The sequence below is a fragment of the Homo sapiens genome, chromosome 11 (genome assembly GCF_000001405.40).
Source record: "Homo sapiens chromosome 11, GRCh38.p14 Primary Assembly".
NCBI classification, from domain to species: Eukaryota; Metazoa; Chordata; class Mammalia; order Primates; family Hominidae; genus Homo; species Homo sapiens.
In genome coordinates this window covers 67,097,520-67,109,947 of record NC_000011.10, presented here as the reverse complement: position 1 = coordinate 67,109,947, position 12,428 = coordinate 67,097,520, and the positions used below count along the sequence as shown (strand labels likewise).

General features: G+C 49.9%; 3 annotated features.

Annotated features, from left to right (window-relative positions):
• Positions 9,254 to 9,754: an enhancer, noted in NCBI's record as "H3K27ac hESC enhancer chr11:66867665-66868165 (GRCh37/hg19 assembly coordinates)". NCBI's record gives its function as "activates a minimal SCP1, AML or CMV promoter by ChIP-STARR-seq in naive H9 embryonic stem cells {active_cell/tissue: H9 hESC(naive)}" and the evidence as "EXISTENCE:reporter gene assay evidence [ECO:0000049][PMID:30033119]".
• Positions 9,418 to 9,537: an enhancer, noted in NCBI's record as "active region_5071". NCBI's record gives its function as "activates an Ori minimal core promoter by ATAC-STARR-seq in GM12878 lymphoblastoid cells {active_cell/tissue: GM12878}" and the evidence as "EXISTENCE:reporter gene assay evidence [ECO:0000049][PMID:35858748]".
• Positions 9,948 to 10,057: an enhancer, noted in NCBI's record as "active region_5070". NCBI's record gives its function as "activates an Ori minimal core promoter by ATAC-STARR-seq in GM12878 lymphoblastoid cells {active_cell/tissue: GM12878}" and the evidence as "EXISTENCE:reporter gene assay evidence [ECO:0000049][PMID:35858748]".

The following is a 12,428-nucleotide window of genomic DNA, read 5'->3' as shown; positions in this document are numbered from 1 at the left end:
AAAAATGCTTGCTAAATATTTAAACTCTGAAAATGTATTTGGTCTTTACCTTCTTTCTGGCTAAATCTATTTTCACACTCTCTGGGGGACTGCAAGAAAATATTGACTGAGTTTAAGGTAAGATTTTCATGGTTTTTTTTTTTTTTGCAATTATACTTGATTTGCCACAGCTTAGAGTTCATGTTCGATTTGGTCATAATTTCTAGATCTACTTTTACTGTTGATCAAATAATCTTCCTATTGGTGAGCTTCATATCATTAACTTTCTATTCCTGCATAATGTTATTGGTGGAAGAAATGTGGGAGACCCTACATCTATACCTCATTCCTTTATTACTGGAGCTGATGACAGGATTTACCCATCTGTCTATTTATTTCATTTTTTTAAATTTTATTTTTTTATTATTATAATTCTTATTTTTTGGGATGGAGTCTCACTCTATCACCCAGGCTGGAGTGCGGAAGTGCAATCTCAGCTCACTGCAGCCTCTGCTTCCTGGGGCTTCCTGGGGGTTCACGAGGTTCTCCTGCCTCGGCCTCCTGAGTAGCTGGGTTTATAGGCGTGCGCCACCACACCTGGCTAATTTTTGTATTTTCAGTAGAGACAGGATTTCACCATGTTGGCCAGGATGGTCTCAATCTCTTAACCTCAAGTGATCCGCCCACCTTGGCCACCCAAAGGGCTGGGACTACAGGCGTGAGCCACTGCGCCCGGCCCCCTAGCTAATTTTTAAATTTTTTGTAGAGATGGGGGTCCCACTATGTTGCCCAGACTAGTCTCAAACTCCTGGCCTCATGGGATCCTCCTGCCTCAGCCTTCCAAAGGCTGGCTTGGGTTTACAGAAATGAGTCACTGTGCCTGGCCCGATATATTTTTAGTTTATATGTTTCCATGGGTGAAGGTTTATGCTTTGCGTAAATGTTGGTAGTTTCTATAATATGTCTTACTATTTTACATTTCTTTCCTTTTTTTTTTTTTTTTGACAAGGTCTTTCCTTCTGTCACCCAGGCAGGCTGGAATGCACTGGCACGATCATAGCTCACTGCAGCCTCAACCTCCTGGGCTCGAGTCCCTGTGTTGTCCCAAGCCGATCTCAAAACCCCTGACCTCAAGTGAGGCCACCTGACTTCCACACCTCATCCTCCCAAAGTGCTGAGATTACAGGGGTGAGCCACCATGCCCAGCGGTATTCAGTATTTTATTTTCTTTTTTTTGTTTGTTTTGGAGACAGAGTGTCACTCTGTTGTCCAGGCTGGAGTGCAGTGGCACAATCTCAGCTCACCGAAACCTCTGCCTCCTGGTCTTAAGCCATCCTCCCACCTCAGCCTTCCCAGTAGCTGGGACTACAGGTACACACCACCATGCCCAGCTAATTTTTTTTTTTTTTTTTTGAGATGGAGTCTTGCTCTATCACTCAGGTGGAAAGCAGCAATGGCACAATCTCTGCTCACTGAAACTTCCGCCTCCTGAGTTCAAGCAATTGTTCTGCCTCAGCCTCTCAAGTAGCTGGGATTACAGGCATGCACCACCAAGCCTGGCTAATTTTTTTTGTATTTTTAGTAGAGACAGAGTTTCACCATGTTGCCCAGGCTGATTTCGAACTCCTGACCTCAAGTGATCCGCCCGCCTCAGCCTCCCAAAGTGCTGGGATTACAGGCGTGAGCCACCACACCCAGCCAATTTTGTATTTTTTGTAGAGATGTGGTGTCACTATGTTGCCCAGGCTGGTCTCAAACTCCCAAAGTGCTGGGATTACAGGCATGAACTACCATGCCCACCACCGGAAGTATTTTCTATTTCATTTTACTATTTACTACTCATGTAATATATCCTATAATGTATTTTATGCATTTTTCTTGTCAATGAATTCAGAAAAGTGGACAAATGGAATACGCAATTCTGACTTGCCATAACATAATGTGGAATCCTCAGTGGCTTCCTTTTTCTGAAACCACATTGTGCCTCTTGATGGGACCATATTTCTTTCTTTTTTTTTTTTTTTTTCTTTGAGACAGAGCCTTACGCACTCTGTCGCCCAGGCTGGAGTGCAGTGGCGCGATATCATATCAGCTCACTGCAACCTCCACCTCCTGGGTTCAAGCAAGTCTCCTGCCATAGCCTCCAGAGTAGCTGGGATTACAGGTGCACACCACCATGCCCAGCTAATTTTTATATTTTTAGTAAAGATAGGGTTTTACCTTGTTGGCCAGCCTGGCCTGGAACTCTTGACCTTAGGTGATCCACCCACCTCAACTTCCCAAAGTGCTAGGATTACAGGCATGAGCCACTATGCCTGGCCTCCATGTGTATTTAAGTTGCTCCTTAATACACAGGCATAGGCATATAATTGTGATGCTTTTGATAGGACAATGCCCATAATTTTCACTGCTTTCTCTTTGTTCTCTGGTGTATTTCTTTTCTTTTATCTTCTTGTGTGTGTGTGTGTATGTGTGTGTGTGTGTGTGTGACAGTTTCGCCCTTGTTACCCAAGGTGGAGTGCAGTGGCGCGATCTTGGCTCACTGCAACCTCTGCCTCCTGGGTTCAAGCGATTCTCCTGCTTCAGCCTCCCGAGTAGCTGGGATTACAGGCACACACCACTGTGCCTGGCTAATTTTGTACTTTTAGTAGAGATGGGGTTTCACCATGTTAACCAGGCTGGTTTCGAACTCCTGACCTAGGTGATCCGCCCACCTAGGCCTCCCAAAGTCCTGGTATTACGGTCGTGAGCCACTGCGCCTGGCCTCTTGTTTTTGAGATGGAGTCTTGTTTTGTCACCCAGGCTGGAGTGCAGTGGCGCGATCTCGGCTCACTGCAACCTCCACCTCCCAGGTTTAAGTGATTCTCCTGCCTCAGCCTCCCAAGTAGCTGGGATTACAGGCGCCCACCACCACACCTGGGTAATTTTCGTATTTTCAGTAGAGACACGGTTTCACTGTGTTGGCCAGGTGAGTCTCAAACTCCTGACTCAAGTGATCTGCCCTCCTCAGACTCCCAAAGTGCTGGGATTACAGGTGTAAGCCACTATACCTACCCTTCTCTGGTGTATTTCTGATTAAACCTGCCATCCACTGTCTAACATTTGATTTGATTAGATCTCCATATGACCATTATTGTCAACCACAGAACACGTGCCAGGTTCTAATTTAACTTAAAGGGCCTCAAGATTTAAAACATAAGACTTGGAGCCTATCCTCAAGAAGCTTACAGTTTAATTGGAGAGAGAAACAAAAAACAAAAACAAAAAACAGCACCGTGCATATTAACCAAAGAGACAGCAGCATGACAGAACTGGCAGAGGGAAAAATGAAGGTGGTTCCTGCACAGCTTCAAGAGCAGCACCAACACTCTCCATCGTCCAAGACTTCCTGGTGTGTGTACTCAGTGCCACACTAACTTCTTCCATTTAGGGTCTGAGAGGTCCTCGTCTATTAAGGGGATAACTCTGAATCACAGAATCTTAGAGCAAGCATCGAGGGCAGAGGTCATTTAATCCTACTTGCTCATTTAAAAACTGGCAGTCTGAGGCCCAAAGATGTTAAGCAGCGTGGCCAAGGTCATGCAGCTAGTTTCGTGATGAAATTAGAACTATAAACCATGTCTTCTGATAGCTAGTCCAGTGCACTTTCTGCTACTCCCCAAATTGATGGCATTTTCTAACCACCAGATCAAATGTTCATTTATTCTTTCCTTCCCTAGAAAGAGCACCTGCCTGTGCGGGGCACTGGGATTGCAATGTGAGTGACATGAAGCCACATTGTCAGGGGGCAAGTCAGGTGAACAAAGAAATTAGCCTCTACACTGAGACACTTTCAGAAAATGAAAGGGGCTAATAATAGCTATGTGTGCATCTCGGTTGTAAACCAGGACTGAGTGCCATGATGGACATCAGGTCTATACAGGATATAGACAAGTCTCCCATTCAGGGCAACATAGTGAGACCCCCATCTTTACAATGAAAAACCAAAACAATTAGCTACTCAGGAGGCTGAGGGGGGCGGATTCCCTCAGCCCAGGAGTTCAAGACTGCAATGAACTGTGATTGTGCCACTGCACCCCAGCCTGAGTGACAGAGCGAGACCCTGTTTAAAAAAATAATAAAAATAATAATAATTAAAGACAGGGCGTGGTGGCTCACGCCTGTAATCCCAGCACTTTGGGAGGCCAATGCGGGTGGATCACCTGAGGTCAGGAGTTTGAGACCAGCCTGGCCAACATGGTGAGACCCTATCTCTACTAAAAACACAAAAAATTAGCTGGGTGTGGAGGCAGATGCCTGTAATCCCAGCTACTCGGGAGGCTGAGGCAGGAGAATCGCTTGAACCCCAGAGGCGGAGGTTGCAGTGAGCTGAGATCATGCCATTGCACTCCAGCCTGGTCAATCTATAAGAGCAAGACTCCGTCTCAAAAAAAAAAAAAAAAAAAAAAAAGCACAGTTTCCACAGGAATCTGTGAGGGCGCAAAGGTGGGAGGGGCCACTTCTGCTGTAGGGAGGAGTATCAACTCAGGGAAAGCTTCATGGAGGAAGCAGCATTTGAGCTGACTTAGTAATTACTGGTTATGGGCCGGATGCAGTGGCTTATGCCTGTAATCCTAGCACTTTTGGAGGCCGAGATGGGTGGCTCACCTGAGGTCAGGAGTTTGAGACCAGCCTGGTCAACATGGTGAAACCTTGTCTCTACTAAAAATACAAAAATTAGCCGGGCATGGTGGCGCACCCCTGTAGTCCCAGCTACTCGGGAGGCTGAGGCAAGAGAATTGCTGGAACCGGGGAGGTGGAGGTTGCAGTGAGCCGAGATTGCGCCAGTGCACTACAGCCTGGGCAATGCAGCAAGACTCCATCTCAACAAAAAAGAAAAAAGAAATTACTGGTTACAGACTGGGTGCAGTGGTTCATGCATGTAATGCCAGCACTTTGGGAAGCTGAGGAGGGTGGATTACTGGAGGCCAGGAGTTCCAGACCAGCCCAGCCAACATGGCAAAACTCTACTAAAAATACAAAAATTAGCTGGGCATGGTGGTGGGCACCTGTAGTCCCAGCTACTTAGGAGGCTGAGGCATGAGAATTGCTTGAACCCGGGAAGCGGAGGCTGTAGTGAGGTGAGATCGTGCCACTGCACTCCAGCCTGGACAACAGAGTGAGAGTCCGTCTCAAAAAAAAAAAAAAAAAGAAATTGGGACAGCTTCTCTGAGCAGGTGACACAGGAGACAGGAGTTGAGATTGTTTAGCAAAAAGGAACCTCCTAGGCAGAGGGAACAGCTTGAGCAAAGACCTTCCATGGGAACGGGTGTTGGTGTACTCAAACAGCAGCAGCCGGAGCGTCTGGGGCAAAGTGGCCAAGGTGGAAAATGGTGCGAGATGAAGTCACAGAGTGGCTGGCCAAGTCACATGAGGCTTGTGGCAAGTCAGGAGTATACTCTTTTTTTTTTTTTAAAAAGGAGTCTCGCTCTGTCGCCCGGGCTGGAGTGCAGTGGCGCCATCTCGGCTCACTGCAAGCTCCGCCTCCCAGGTTCACGCCATTCTCCTGTCTCAGCCTCCTGAGTGGCTGGGACTACAGGCGCCCGCCACCACGCCCGGCTAATTTTTTGTATTTTTTAGTAAAGATGGGGTTTCACCGTGTTAGCCAGGATGGTCTCGATCTCCTGACCTCGTGATCCACCTGCCTTGGCCTCCCAAAGAGCTGGGATTACAGGCATAAGCCACTGCATCACGCCTGAATACAGGCGTGAGCCACCACACCCGGCAGGAGTGTACTCTTAAGGCAGGAGCAACCCATGGTGATCATACAAGTAGGGAAATGACGAGGTCAAGTTTATGTTTCAGAAAGAACTCTGATAAGAAAGCAGATGCTGTTGAGAAAATTAAGGTGTTTTATCTTCCCCATGTGAGAAGGACATGGCCTCAGGCAGCAAACAGGGTATGGAAAGTAGAGCTGAGAGGTATAGGAGGAGGAGCATTCGACAGGATGTGGGCACACGTTGGATGTGCGGGAGGAGGGGTCGTGCATGTCTGCCGTGTGTGTGTATTGACTGATCCGCCGTGCCATCCCCTCAAATGGGAAATACAGGAGAAGCAATGGGTCGGGCCAAGAGACACAGGATCACATTTGCACACGCTGAGTCTGAGGGGCTCTAAGACATCTGCTGCTAGCTTTATGAGGCCTGGGATGGAGGGGAGCAGCACACACTGGAGTCAGAGGTCTGGGCATCCACATGCCAGATCCAGGTTGTGGGAGGAATAAGGTGATCCATGGAAAGGGCATGGAAGGCCGGGCATGGTGGCTCCTGCCTGTAATCCAAGCACTTTGGGAGGCCGAGGCGGGCGGATCACTTGAGGTCAGGAGTTCAAGACCACCCTGGCTAACATGACGAAACCTCATCTCTACTAAAAATACAAAAATTAGCCGGCGTCATGGTGCGCTCCTGTATACCCAGCTACTCAGGAGGCTAAGGCAGAAGAATCACTTGAACCCGGAAGGCGGAGGTTGCAGTGAGCTGAGACTGAGCCACTGCACTCCAGCCTGGGCGACAGAGCGATTCTGTTTCAAAAAAAAAGAGAAAGGGGGCCGGGTGCGGTGGTTCATGTCTGTAATCCCAGCACTTTGGGAGGCCGAGGCAGGCGGATCACAAGGTCAGGAGTTTGAGGCCAGCCTGGCCAACATGGTGAAACCCCGTCTCTACTAAAAATACAAAAAAAATTAGCCGGGCGTGGTGGCGGGTACCTGTAATCACAGCTACTCTGGAGACTGAGGCAGGAGAATGGCGTGAACCCAGGAGGCGGAGCTTGCAGTGAGCCAGGATCGCACCACTGCACTCCAGCCTGGGCGACAGAGCGAGACTCTGTCTCAAAAAAAAAAAACAAAAAACAGGGACTGCGCATCAGGGAGAACTGTGCCCAGCCCCACTGTAGGTGCCCAGTAACTGCTTGAAAAATGAATGGGCATGTAAAGTAACCAGGAGAGAAAGCAGAGCCTGTGAAAGCAGCTGAGAAGGAAAGACCAGATGGGTAAGAGAGAGGCAGAGTGTAGGCGGCAGGGAGGAGAGTGCAGAGGAGAGGAGTCAGAGAGGAAGATGAAGCTGGAAGACCACCCCTGGATGCAGCCATTATGACATCACCAGGGACCTTTGATAGCTGTGTCATGAAGTTGGGGGTGGGGGAGTCGGCATGAGGTGAACAGAAGGCAAGTGTGCATCCTTTTTTTTTTTTTTAGACAGTCTCGCTCTGTCGCCAGGCTGGAGTGCGGTGGCGCGATCTTGGCTCACTGCAACCTCCGTCTCCTGGGTTCAAGTGATTCCCCTGCCTCAGCTTCCTGAGTAGCTGGGACTACAGGTGCACACCACCACACCCAGCTAGTTTTTTGTATTTTAGTAGAGACAGGGTTTCACCATGTTAGCCAGGATGGTCTCGATCTCCTACCTTGTGATCCACCTGCCTCGGCCTCCCAAAATGCTGGGATTACAGGAGTGAGCCACTGTGCCCGGCCGTGCATCCCTCTTTCAAGAGCTGGCTGTGGAAAGAAGTTCCAGCAGCGGAAGACAGGATGGGGGGGTTGTAATGGGAACATAAAGAGTTTGTGTGTGGCCTGCAAGAAGATGTCAGTAGAGATGGGGCGGGCAAGGGTGGGACTAGAAACTGCAAATAAGGGATAAGGGATAGAGCAAGAGGTGCTTGGTGCCGGAGCAGCCAGAAGAACCAGCTGGCCTGAGGTAACTTCCGTGGGGTGAGGACACGTCTTCCTCAGAACCTGGGGAGAGGCTGCCAGGGCCGTGTGCAGGTTGATCATTTTGAGGATGTGGGTGCAGGAGATTGAGAGAGTTTAGGCTTGAAAACCCCTGGAATAATCTTGGGAGTTGCTATGGTCTGAATGTGTTCCTCACAGTTTATGTGTTGGAAACAATCCTCAGTGCGACAGTTTTGGAGGTGGGGCCTAACGGGAGGTGTTTAAGTCATGAGGGCTCGGGCCCTCAGGAGTGGATTAATGTTGCTATAAAAGAGAGTGGGGGCTGGGTCCAGTGGCTCACGCCTGTAATCCTAGCACTTTGGGAGGCTGAGGTGGGTGGATCACTTGAGGTCAGCAGTTCAAGATCAGCCTGGCCAACATGGAGAAACCCCGTCTCTAATAAAAACTACAAAAATTAGCCGGGCGTGGTGGTGGGTGCCTGTAATCCCAGCTACTTGGGAGGCTGAGGCAGGAGAATCGCTTGAACCCGGGAGGGGGAGGTTGCAGTGAGCTGAGATCACACCATTGCATTCCAACATGGGTGACATAGCGAAATTCCGTCTTAAAAAAAAAAAAGAGAGAGAGCGGGTTCACTGTCTTCTGCTCTTCTGCCATCTGACAATGCAGTCTGAAGGCCCTTACCAGATGCCAGTGCCTTGATCTTGGACTTCTCAGCCTCCAGAACTATGAGAGTTCACTATGTTACCCAGACTAGTCTCAAACTCCTAGGCTCAAGGGATCTTCCCACCTCAGCCTCCTGAGTACTGGGACTACAGGCACGTGCCACTGTTCCTGGCTATAAATTTCTATTCTTTATAAATTATTTAGTCTTGCCGGGCACGGTGGCTCATGCCTGTAATCCCAGCACTTTGGGAGGCCGAGGTGGGTGGATCACAAGGTCAGGAGATCGAGACCATCCTGGCTAACATGGTGAAACCCCGTCTGTACTAAAAATACAAAAAATTAGCCGAGCATGGTGGTGGGCACCTGTAGTCCCAGCTACTCGGGAGACTGAGGCAGGAGAATGGCATGAACCTGGGAGACAGAGCTTGCAGTGAGCCGAGATCGCACCACTGCACTCGAGCCTGGGTGACAGAGCGAGACTCCCTCTCAAAAAAAAAAATAAATAAATAATCTAGTCTCAGCTATTTTGTTATAGCAGCACAAAGGGACTGAGGCAGGGGTGGATAAGGTGACCCCTTTCTCTCTGAGAGAAGCCAGATCTTACTATGACATATATATTTTTTTGAGATAGGGTCTCGCTCTGTTGACCAGGCTGAAATGCAGAGGCGTGATCATGGCTCACTGCAGCCTCAAACTCCCGGGCTGAAGTGATCCTCCCACCTCAGCCTCCCAAAGTGCTGGGATTACAGGCATGACCGGGTGTGGTGGCTCATGCCTGTAATCCCAGCACTTTGGGAGGCTGAGGCAGGTGGGTCACCTGAGGTCAGGAGTTCAAGACCAGCCTGGCCAACATGGCAAAACCTGGTCTGTATCTAAAAATGCAAAAGATTAGCCAGCAGTGGTGGTGCGTGCCTGTAGTCCCAGCTACTTTGGAGGCTGAGGCAGGAGAATAGGTTGAACCAGGGAGGTGGAGGTTGCAGTGGGCTGAGATCACGCCACTGCACTCCAGCCTGGGTGACAGAGTGAGACTCTCTCAAAACAAAACAAAGTGCTGGGATTACAGGCATGAACCAGCATGCCTGGCCTTCTTTTTTTCTTTTTTTCTTTCCTTTTTTAAACTTACTACTTTCTGTCTACAGTCTTCTACCCCACAGAAGTGGAGAGAGAAGTGGGTGGATTCGGGAAGCATCATGAAAGCTCACAGGAAACCAACTTCCTGTGACCACCAGTTATGCCAGAGGGTCAGTGAGAACCAAGGCAGGTCCAGGCACTGCGCACAGGTGCCCTACACAGGAAGGAGAGCGTAGAGTCCTAAACAGGCCACAGTGGCCCAGGCTAACAAACAAGAGTTTCTCCCTCCTGCAGGCTCACCCTCTGCCCCTCTCCCCTACCCCTGCCTTTGGGCTTCCTGCAAGGCCTAGTCCTCAACCCTCTGCTCTTCTCTCTCTTGAGGCTTTCATTTATTCTCAGAACTTCAGATGTCTTCTCTGCGGGTTTGTCCCTGTGGCTGCTACGGCCCTGAACTTTCCCCACCACCTGGCCAGTGACTTCTCTGTTGGAGATTCCCCTGCACCCTCCTGTGTGAAATGAGGTCTATGCTGTCCTCCCCTTCAAACAGGCATTGGATACACTCTCTCCTCCCTGCCGCCTCCTCTGCCTCCAAACACATGCACAGGCCTTCCCTGCTGCACTCTGTGAATTCCCACAGCCCTGAAAATCCATTCACCCAGCTTGGCAATTACTGCATGCTCGCTTGCGTTTGATTTTTTTCTGAGACAGAGTCTCGCTCTGTCGCCCAAGCTAGAGTGCAATGACAGGATCTCAGCTCACTGCAACCTCCACCTCCCGGGTTCAAGCAATTTTCTTGCCTCAGCCTCCTGAGTAGCTGGGATTACAGGCCTGCGCCACCACACCTGGCTAATTTTGTATTTTTAGTAGAGACGGGGTTTCACCATGTTGGTCAGGCTGGTCTCAATCTCCTGACCTCAGGTGATCCGCCCACCTTGGCCTCCCAAAGTGCTGGGATTATAGGCGTGAGCCACCACGCCTGGCCTCACTTCTGTGAGTGTGTCTGGTTCTCTCTCCAGTGGAGTAAGCTTCCTACAGAATGGGCTTGCTGTGTGCCTGTTTCCTCCACCATGTCTGGAATCAGGCCCCGAAAATAGTTTTCCTCATTCACTAAATGCTTGCGAAGGGTAACAGGAGAGGGGCCCCTGGTGTAGTGGCCGATGTTGGGGGCGGGGAGACAGGCAAGAGGGTTTGCCAGGAAAGAGGTGGAATTTGTAAAAGTAACTATTGGAGGAGTACATTGCAGGCACATAAAGTATTTGCATCTGAGCAAAGACTCAAATGGGAGTGAAATTATTGGAGGAGGAAGACATTGAGTCACTGCCAGGAAGGCCCAGCTGGTAGGGGTGGAGTTGGAGGAAGAAGAGGTAGAGGATACCCCGGGGAGAAAGAGCTGGTGGCAAGTTTAGAGCCCAGGATGGGACAAGGTTGATCACTGACAGCCACTAAAGATGGGAGAAACAGCTTGGCAGCCAGCACTGGGCACATGGCAGGCAGTTAGTTGCTGGAGGCCAGATACCCAGAGGGAGGAGGTGGTAATGGGCAGTGGTGATAGCGACTAGAGTGAGACAGTGACAGAAGAATGGGAAGAGGCATCCAAGTGGGTCAGAGAAAAGGAGCAGTGTGAAGTGTGGCAGAGGACATGGGGTGTGGAGGGTGGTGGCAAACTTGTAGTCTAAGCTTTGCCTTATGGTTGGGAGAAGAATAATAAAGGCCGAGGTACATTTGCATTTCTTGGTGGTTCCTATCCAACTCCATTCAGTGAGGTTGTTCCTACAGGTACCCAGTCTCCCTTGGAGATGCCCCATGGGTGGTACTGGGGAGAATAGAGACATCTTCCCTCTCCTGACCGGGTGCAGCCGGGTCAAATTCGGTTTGACCCAGCAGACCTCCTTTTTTAGGTTGCTGACTCCCAAGCAGGTGGCCTGAGGAAGTGGAGAAAGATGGACATCATTCCCATCTGGCTTCCTGCCCATCCCAAACCTGGTCCTCCAGCCCCCAATCAATTCTTCTTCTTCCTTTTTTTTTTTTGTTATTGAGATGACGTTTTGCTCTATTTTTTTTTTTTTTTTGAGACGGAGTCTGGCTCTGTTGCCCAGGCTAGAGTGCAGTGGTGCGATCTCAGCTCACTGCAAGCTCCACTCCCGGGTTCAAGCGATTCTCTTGCCTCAGCCTCCCAAGTAGCTGGGACTACAGGCGCCCGCCACCAGGCCCGGCTAATTTTTTGCATTTTTAGTAGAGATGGGGTTTCACCGTGTTAGCCAGGATGGTCTCGATTTCCTGACCTCATGATCCACCCGCCTTGGCCTCCCAAAGTGCTGGGATTACAGACGTGAGCCACTGTGCCCGGCCCCGTTTTGCTCTTGTTGCCCAGGCTGGAGTGCAGTGGCGTGACCTCGGCTCACTTCAACCTCTGCCTCCTGGGTTCAAGTGATTCTCCTGCCTCAGCCTCCCAAGTAGCTGGGATTACAGGCGTCTGCCACCATACCTGGCAAATTTTTTGTATTTTTAGTAGAGACAGGGTTTCACCATGTCAGCCGGGCTGGTCTCAAACTCCTGATCTCAGGTGATCCACCCACTTCGACCTCCCAAAGTGCTGAGATTACAGGCATGAGCCACCACGCCCAGCTGCCCCCAATCAATTCTGAGAGCCACCTTCACCCTGACAGATAAACACATAGACACACACTCCAAAAGGCTGGGATTACAGGCATGAGCCCCTGCGCCCTGCCCAGACCCTGTTCTTAATGTAAGCAAGTGAGTGTGTCTTTGTTTTTTTGTAGGTTTTTTGTTTGTTTTGTTTTTGTTTTTTGGAGACAGTCTCACTCTGTCACCCAGGCTGGAGTGCAGTGGTGTGATCTCTGCTCACTGCAACCTCTGACTCCCAGGTTCAAGCAATTCTCCCTGTCTCAGCCTCCCAAGTAGGTGGGATTACAGGCACCCACCACCATGCCCGCCTAATGTTTGTATTTTCAGTAGACACGAGGTTTCGCCATGTTGGCCAGGCTGGTCTCGA